Source organism: Homo sapiens, chromosome 5, assembly GCF_000001405.40.
Source record: "Homo sapiens chromosome 5, GRCh38.p14 Primary Assembly".
NCBI lineage: Eukaryota > Metazoa > Chordata > Mammalia > Primates > Hominidae > Homo > Homo sapiens.
The window spans coordinates 51,557,694-51,567,399 of NC_000005.10; the positions used below are offsets into that span (position 1 = coordinate 51,557,694).

General features: G+C 31.1%; 2 annotated features.

Moving 5' to 3' along the window:
- Positions 917-2,686: an enhancer, noted in NCBI's record as "VISTA enhancer hs1419". NCBI's record gives its function as "enhancer in: neural tube[7/8] | hindbrain (rhombencephalon)[6/8] | midbrain (mesencephalon)[6/8] | cranial nerve[7/8]" and the evidence as "EXISTENCE:transgenic organism evidence [ECO:0001131][PMID:17130149]".
- Positions 1,494-2,218: an enhancer, noted in NCBI's record as "hCREST1 fragment used in the Tg(hCREST1/isl1-PLAP) transgene". NCBI's record gives its function as "activates a zebrafish isl1 promoter in motor neurons of transgenic mice" and the evidence as "EXISTENCE:transgenic organism evidence [ECO:0001131][PMID:15680372]".

Here is a 9,706-nt window from a genome sequence, read left to right on the forward strand (position 1 = left end):
GTTTCAAGGTGTAGAGATGGAAGGAAATGAACACATAGGACTGGCTGTGAATGTAAAAGGTATCAAGAGGAAGCTCATGGTGATCAAATTGTCCGGTGTCTTGATTATAGCTGCGGTTACAAGAATCTAAGCATGTGATAAAATGGGATAAACCTATACATACACATTTTACCAGTGTCAATTTCTGGAGGTCTGAGAGACTTCGGAGTTTGAAATTTGGCCTTTCTTTAGGACAAGCACTGTCATCAGACAATTTCTTGAGTTTTCTTTCAGAATTATGACCCCTGCTTTTAAAAAAAATGAACTGAACTGAGGTTTCAGAACATGTGCATCATTACCTTAGTTAAAATAAAACAGAAAATCCAAGAGGGCTTCTGATGATTGCCATGTTTGGCTCCATTTCTTCCATAATCTTAGTTCTCTTTTTAATTAAAGGTTGATCTTAATGATCAGTTTTAAGATAGTTGGAGCATGGTATTAGTGCATTTATCTCAAACTTCTGTTAGAGAAAGTCAGAGTATAAGATAATGGTTAGGCAACACAGCATATTTTCTTTTATGTTCCCAGGGATAATTTTTGTTGTTTACTCTTAGGACATTTAAGGTGTACATTCTTCCATCCCTCTCCAAAGCTACCTAGGGCTGCATAATTGATTATAAAGTAGTCCCAAGCTAAAGATGTTGTTCTACCAGTGTGAGAAGGATGTTTCTGACTCACTTGCTGATGATTCAGGTCAATTTGGTATTTAGATCATTAGTTTTCTCAATTTTTAAAATGTTATTTTTAAGACAAGCATAAGTTTAGCAGATAAGGACATTTTGTTGTTGCTGTTGTTAAAAGTATGATGGGGTATATAGAGTATTCCTAAAGAAATATAAAACTAGCTCTTGACAATTCTACTACTGCACATAAAAACTGTGTTGTGAGAAGTACATGGAAAGAATAATTGTATTCAGTATTATAGAGTCTAAAATTCTAAGGGAATTTGTAATTTTTCTCAGTGAGATATTGCAAATATTTAGGTAACAAAGTGGCTGGTATTTGGGTTCAGGTAAAGGGATGGCGGGATATTGGGAAGAACACAGATTGAAAGTCAAGAAAGCTATAATCAAATCTCAGTTCTTCCCATTTTAATGGACAAGTCACTTAATCTCTCTGTGTCTCATTTTCCTCTATGTTTCATTTGCAGACTGGAGATAATATCTATTTATGATGAAATGTATTGTTAAGTCTCACTAGGAATGAATCTTGCTTTTGTTGGGTAAGAGGGATGTTTTTAAGCTTGTATTTATTTTATCATTTCTCATTAAAAATATAAATAGCTTTTTACAAAAACAACAATAAAAAAGTAGGAAGTCTTCTTTAATTTGGCATAATATATGATTCATCAACATTGGCTGCTATTAATATACTGATCAGTGAAAATGTTCCAAGTTTGATGTTGCTCAACAGATAAGCTAAAACCTATAAGCCCTCACAAGAACCTGTATTTACAAACAGATGCACCTACCTCTTAAAGTAATCAGTTTCTAACAAAGTATTGTTTATATGTTTCATGCAAATTGGTCTGAAGTGTTGCTTAGACAATCTTATTATATTTAAGAATAAAAACTTCCATCAAGAAATTGTACAAAGAAAATGGACACACCAGCTGGATAAATCTATCATGTGCAGGGGGGAGTAGGGGAAGCAAGCACTTTTAATTAGCTGAGTGAATGCAGTTTGTTGAACACAGAAAGCACAGCCTTAGTCATATTAAAATGTGCCTAATTTTCTGTGAAAAAGTCCCATCTGAACAGGCCTGACCACAGTCAATCATACTAAAAGCCACTGGTGCTTAATTTGATTTACCAATATAAAATGCAAATTAGGTTATTAAGTGGAGTGGCAGACAGAGTAGGGCCCCTTTCAAACCATCAAGTTAAATGCAAGCAGACAGCAAACTGGCTGTGCAAAGAAAATTTTAGCATATTCGTTTGATTAGTGCTACAAAAATTTAATTAGGTTGGCTAATTACTTGACAAATTGCTCTACACGAGAGAAAAGGCAGAGGGTTTTTTTTTTCTTTTTTCATTGCAAATATCCTGTGTGTATTTTAGCCCAAATGCTATCTGCCAATTTGCAAAAGCCTTATTAAATGAATGGAAGATGGTCCCCAATAATAGCAAATCATATAATGCATATAATTAGACAAGGCCCACACTCTAGCCATATGTCCATACTCTATCATAGCTAAAAACATTTAACACAACATTTATGTATGTGTACCTATTGTCAAAACAGATTATTACAAAGCAGTCAGTTCTTAAGAAAGAAAATATTGTGCATGATATAGAAAATAGACGTTTGTGACATTCCTACCTCCCAGAAGAGTTTGTTTGTTAACTATTAAATGAAGCAGTAGTGACATGCTAAAGTTTGTCATCACAGAATGCACCAGTCAGCCAATCCATGGTTGAATGAGGCCAATGTTAAAATGGAGTAGAGAAAATTGTCTCCTTGTGATACATTCTAAATGTAAAGCTATTAATTTACAATTAGAGTTACTGACATTTCATAAAACAAAATTTATTTTTTCAAAAGCTATTCAAAGGGAAATAATTTCTTTAGAAAAATGATGTTTATATCAATATTCAAGAGAATAAGATAGATTTCATATAATCACAGTATTATTTGGAGACTTCCACAATTTTTTCAGATATTTTATTTGGTTTTCATTGATTTTCAACAGAACTAGTGAGCCTGTTCTAACTCAAGCCCTGTGATTTTACAAAGAGATAACCACTTTGCCTGTCCAAGTGGAAAAACTAAGTATCATATTTTATAAACAGGTTTTGCAGTTAGTAATTAGATACTATATTTAACCTGTTCTAAAGCAACATCTTATGAAAGTATGAACTGCAAGAACTATTTGCGAACAATCATTTATGCAGGCTGCATTATTGTTTTTACAATTAGAATCTGCTCTGTTAGTTTAGAACTCAGATATAGTTACACTGGACAGTGCAGATGCACTTAGGATTTTATGTAACACCCTTATCATTACTGCCATTTTATCTTAACTTACCTCTTTTACTCTTTTTAGATTTACAATCATTGCCAAAAATAGACTAAAAATTTGTGGAGATTATGATAGGATGTGGATTATGTAGACAATTTTACTTATATAAAGTCCTGGGATAAAGTCGTGGCCTCCTGAGCAAACATTTGGCCATATTGCTGACATTACATTTGAAGACATTGAGGATGTCATACACATAGATTCTATAAACACAGAAACTGCAAAATTTAGTAACAAAGTATTATATTTTAATATAAGAATAATGCCAATCGCTTGAGGTTTTCTTCTTTAATGTATTGATTGATTGTCTCCCTCCCCTGTCATTTATTTTTAATTTGATAAACTGACTAGTATTTTAAAAAATTTAACAGATGCAGTCTATTAAATAATTGAAACCTGGGACATTTTGATAAGGGTATGTGTATAAAACAGTGAAATTATTGGCTTGCAAACATATTAAGGTGCTTCTTATGTGTTAATATTAAATGTTATACTTGAGTGTCCAATGGCAGCTGCTGTATTAATTGCCGATAAAACAATAATCTTGATTATTATTTTTATGTGTTACCTAGAACAAATTACATGCATGTAAAATAACAGTAGCTCCCTTTTATTGAGCCCCTACTACGTGAAGATGCAGGGTTTGGTGTTTACATATATTTTATTCAATTCTTCTACACAACTAAAGATATAAGTATTATTGTTTCCATTTTATAAAGTATAAGATTGAGGTGAGTTAGTTTAAGTAAAGAATTCAAGACCAAAAAATGAGTAATGAATCAATATAGGTTTGAACCATAGCCTGGCTGAATTGTAATATGTTCTTCCCAATGCCGTGAATAATTTTTGGATACGTATTTTTAAATATGATTTTATGTATGTATGCATACATGATACACAGTGGTGTGTTTGTATCTATTCGAGAGTTGCCACTGTGATTGTATATAATTGAGATTTAAACCACTAATTGTGATTTGTATATTACACACTTATGATATATGGTCCATTTTCTATCTTTCTATTCTAATAACAGAGAAAGGGTTTTTATGAAATATAATCAAACATGGCCATTGATATATTTTTAAACTCTATAATTCAATCATATATATGAACAATTTGATGATGGAAGTAAAGAGATTCAAAGCCCACAGATTTCAATAGTTCATGAACTGTGGTGATTCAGGCTGACAAAAACCTTTGGAAACATCACATCCTTTAAAGTTGTATAGGCAGAATCAGATTCTTTGCCAAACTGGAGACATCAAAAGGAATGCAAAATAAGTATGGAATTGGATTAGAAAAAGCAAAGTTTCCATCTATATGACAAGTGTGTTGGGGAGAAATACACCAGTTCATAAGACATGAGCTTAAAACCAGCTTCAGCCTGTTGAAAGGCTTTATTATCATTTTGTTAATTAAGAAAAATAACTTGGTTTCCAGCTAGGATGAGATTTTTTTTCCCCATTAACATTTTAGGTTAAATTTAAGAAGGCTTGTGTAAGACACATACATATCTAAAAGTAGTAAAGAATAATTAGTCATTTGTGTGACTTTTCATGTTACTGACATTCCTGAATATTTTGTTTCAAAAACTTGATAGACAATAAATAATTTTTATACTGAAATACCAAACATTTTGAAGTAGATTTGAATTAATGGTATGAATTCCCAATAAGATTCTAATTTGAAAATAATTTTTCAGATTTTGAACTGACAGATAACATAGGCAACTTTAAAATATATACAGAATTACAACCATTAATTCACTATATTTTAAAAGTCACTGCACTGTAAAATGCATGGTGATAATTCAATCATTATAATAAGTTATAAAGCATAGTGAAGGAATTTTTTTTCTAGGTATGAAAGTATTACATTCATATGTCCATACTGAGAAAAAACATATCTCAATTTAAGTTGAAACTTAGAGGAGAAGAATCTTGAAGAGTTTTAGAATTTAAAAAAGTATTTAGTGTTTGGATCAAATCATTTTCTGGTCTAGTTTTATTCTTCAAGTTTCTTGGTTTTGTCAAAGAAAATAAACACCCTGTTATATAGAGCTCTCAAATTATAATGAGAAGAGTCTTGCTGAGTATAAACTTTACCATTTGCTAGGGCCAGGGAACACTTCTTTCCCAAGTCTGGAAACTTCCCTCATAACAAAGTGGCCATTTGTTCATTGGTTCTTTTCTGTGGTTACTAAGAAAACGATTGGCCTATGACCTATAGTTTCCTGTTAATATGTCACTTACGATGCAAAATATAAACATAAAAGCTGGTACTTAGTGCAGTAATAGACGCCTGGACTTATTGAGTTGAGAATAAACCAGAAAAAAAAACTGCACAATCTTCCTTGGTTATTTCATAATCAGGGAATTTTTCCTGATACTTAAATTCATAAACCTAAAGAAAAATGACTTTACCAGATGAAAGTAAATCTTAAGCATCAGAAAAAAGATAGTAAATTGATGAGAAATTTATCTGGATTTTCAATCTATAATGAACTAAAGAAGCTACTCTGATTAAAAAAACTAAAAAATACATTAATAATTATTGCAGTTCCATTTCTGTTTAGATGTTCAAATGTTTGCATTATTAAGATTCAGATTTTCACTTCTTGTCATAAATGTAAAGTTAGCAAGAATGTTATTTATTTGCAGGAGAATTCATAGTCCATTGCATGAGAAAGGATGATCTTTCCCTTAACATTTGAGCAAAATTACACAATTTATTTGCAGGTGTAAGTATGTTGGACAGCATTCAAATGAGCACTGAATAAAGCATAGAAACAAGGACAATTAGGTCTTGGATTTTTTGACTAGTTGGTTTAAAAGCAGTTTTCTGTATCATGGAACTTCATTTTAACCATCTGATTTAAGAGCTTAATAAAACACTAAACTTTGTATAATAAAAACTATATGATACCCTAGAGTTCTTTATTAGGCAATAGCTATGCTCAGGATATTAGTATCTGTGGAGGCTTTGCAATTTGGTATTTATAATCATGGCTATAATAATAATCATTGAATTTCTGAAAAATTTGATCCTAATAAATTGTGGTTTTAGAAAAAAATTCTGAGGCTGACTTACTTGCTGTTGGAATGATCAATAGATCCGTATGTTTGTATTTTGAACCCAGAGGATTTTTATCTCCCATATATTAAGCCACTTTCTGAAAGTATCTGAAACTACTGTGTAACACTTAATATATCTGGTACTGAGTAATAACCGTTCCTTCTCTTGCCTTAGCTGTTAAGCCCATTTATTTTTAAATAGTTGAGAGTGACTTAGATATCAAGAACAGAAGCTGTTAAACTGGATTGTCCAAGTTTTGGCATATTTTTGCTTTACTAGTTATCATCTTGGTAACAATAATCATGGTTTAGACTTGTGTTAGGTATTGTGTACAGTGCCCTGAGAAGCTAAAGCACTTTGCAAAAGTATGATTAAACTTTTGGCTATATAGTACTAAACTAACATAATTATTACTAAATATTAACTCCTGATATGATCAAATGAATAAAAATTGTGATTTTGGAAGGGCAAAAACCAAAGTATAGTGCTTTATTAAAACTGTAAATGCAGGAAAATTTTTGTTGCCAAAGATATCCTTTCCTGTCGTTTCCTCTCGCATTTTTCAACAGTAATTTTTCAATAGTAATTGTCTTCTTTTTTTTCCCTGATGCTGAAGAAATTATTGCCTAAGATTAAACAACACTGATTGTTCATTTGAAAGACTTTTTTCTTTCTACAGATCCATCTACCTTTGAGTTTTAATGAGTTAAAGATTCCCACGAGGTTTTTGCTGCATTGGAGCTGATTTTGTCTTTGTTTCTTCCAAGAGTTTAAAAACAGTTGGTACAAGTCACATTAACAAAGGCCCACCTGTACTGAAATTCTCAAATGAAATCTAGCTAGGTTTACTGTTATCATATAGGGCATGCATTAATCAGCATGATCTTTCACTGCCTTGAGAAAGCAGCCTTCTTTCTCAAAGGTAATAGTCAAGAAAAGAATCATCTGAATGTGCTTCTATAGAAAGACCCTTCTATAAAACCAAAATATTCACAATAAAACTGCAAATCGTCTCTGTCTTTACTTTAAAAGTAAACTACGGATGGGAATATATGAGAATACTATTTTATTTACAATGAACCTGCTATAACTTGATCAATTGTTCACTTCTAAAAATGTTGAAAAGTCTCCATGACTGATAAGGTACTGGCTTCTTTTATTTCCTAATATTCTCTAAAGTATTGGTTACACATATGTGAAACATTCTTAGTTTATCAAGATACTAGAAGTCTAGCATTACCAGCTGTGAATATATTTTAGATACCTGAGAAAATAGGTACAATGTGCAGAATGACCATTTGACCATCTGGGTCCCAGTGTGGTTTCTCTGCAAAGGAAGAAAAATATTGGATCTTGCTGCAGAACGCTAGCAACTCTATTTTCCTTTCTTGTGTATGGGGAAATTTTGCTGAATGTCAAAAAGAAAAGCAGTCCAATAATACCAAGATGAGAAAAATAATCTCCCCCTCCCCAACTTGTGACAATTTAAAACTATTTGATTAAGAAGCTCTTTTCAAAAATAAAAATCAATCTGCTCTGGCATCAAATTACCAAATAAGCTTACCTCTTTTCTACTAGTTGACTAAAATAGTTGTAAATACTAATGTTTTTAAATCCTAAAACAAAATTCTAAACTTTGATCTTAATTGAATATGCTTTATAGAGAAAGGTAAGACTTTTAAAAATTCAAAAATTATTATCATAGGTAGGTTTTCTTAGTAAACACTTTTAAATTATTTTAACTTGTTACATTTCCTTCTCTTCTAAGGATAATTATGCTCCTTTATACTTAATTATGGAGATCTTCTTATATGTCATCCTTATCTTTGCCTACAATGTAGGACAACATAAATCTTAGATATCCAATGTTTACTACATTTTATTTTATATGTTTTCAGCAAGTCAGTTTTAGATATAGAAATATTTCTAAATAAACGCTTTTAATAACCAAATATAATAACTACAATAGGAGCAAGAGGGAATATATGCAAACTATTTGTTTTAAGTTATCCTATGGTGAAGGTGTCATGATTCTAAAATGATATTTTGATTAACATGTTCAAGTATTTTTCTTCATGTTTTCCTCATCTAAAAGTAAACTTTTTTGGAGAATCATATATATACATCTATAGACAAATGGCTTTTAAGTTAGGTTAAGAGTGTTCAGCTAAATAGTTAAGTGGTATATAAATATTAATAAAGATTTTTTTACCAGTTTCAAAATTTTCCTAAAACTCATCTCATTCCTTCCCCTAACCCCTCAAATCAAATACAGACATATAATAGTGGATCATTTGCAAAAGTTCACTCTTATAAATATAATAATATTGTTTTCTTATTTCAAGTATAAGAGTCTAAAAGTATATATATATATATATATATATATATTTTTTTTTTTTTCAAACAGTAGAGTAACTAGGCCTTACTGTATTTTCCTTATTTTTAAAGTCACTGAAGGGAGGATAATATTGGTGTCTTCTATTATTTCAAAGATCTCAGCCATTTATTATTAATTCATTCATTAATCACACAAGCTTTTATTTAGTAATGAATTCACTTATTACAAAACTTTTAATGAGTATATGAGGCAATGGGAAGCTATTAAATTGGTGAATGCGACTATGAAATATGATAAAAATAAATATACACAACTTTAGATTATTCCAAATATTTGAGAGTAGCAAAAACTACATAATGGAAAAAGGCAAATTAAATAATTAATTCAACTCTGGAGGTTATTTGTTCAAAACTACGGACTCATTACAATGTATGTAATGAGAAATACATAAGAAATATAAGCTATTTTTATGTTGTCAAGGAAGTTATATAAAGAATTAATATTCAATTGTGAACTGTGAATTTTGGATTCAGGCATTTCTGATAGTAGAAAATTCCCTTCTCAGAGAGCAACAAAACCAACCTCTAAAGACTTAACCTGGGTCAGGAAGCTTTTGGGTCTGTTTTTCTCAGGAGCCCCTACTCTCAAATACTTCTTGAGTCCTCTTCATATTGAAGACAGACTTTTTTTTTCCTCAGGTGAATATACATTTATTGTCTTAAAGCTTCCCTGAAGCAGGTAAATGAGTACTAACATTAAGCTTCAAAGAATTTCTCTGCATGCAAGCAATTCAGCTGTCAGAAAAGCTATGATTAATGATATTTCATATGAAAATTAATGGAAAATAACTAGATGCAATTAAAAATACTAAAGATGAGAGCATTCTTTCTTGAACACTTGAAGAATTACATATGTTTATTGTTACTCAAGGATTAAAATAAAATATTTTGGACAACTTGTTGAGTTATGAGTTATGGTTAACAAATCTAATTTTGCCTGAGGGTACTTATTAGGCCTTGTGATGAACCATAATAAATAAGAGGTTTATTTTTGTTAGGAGATTTCTATCACTCACAGAGAGAGGGAGAGAGAGATAGAACTGAGACATATGTCGAGGGGACTTGGCTGTGCTTCTTCTGTACAGAACATACTGTACAATTACAAACCAGGAAACCAGAACTGTGATGTTTCCAAATAGAATGAGAACATACATATGAACCTTTAACTTGCCG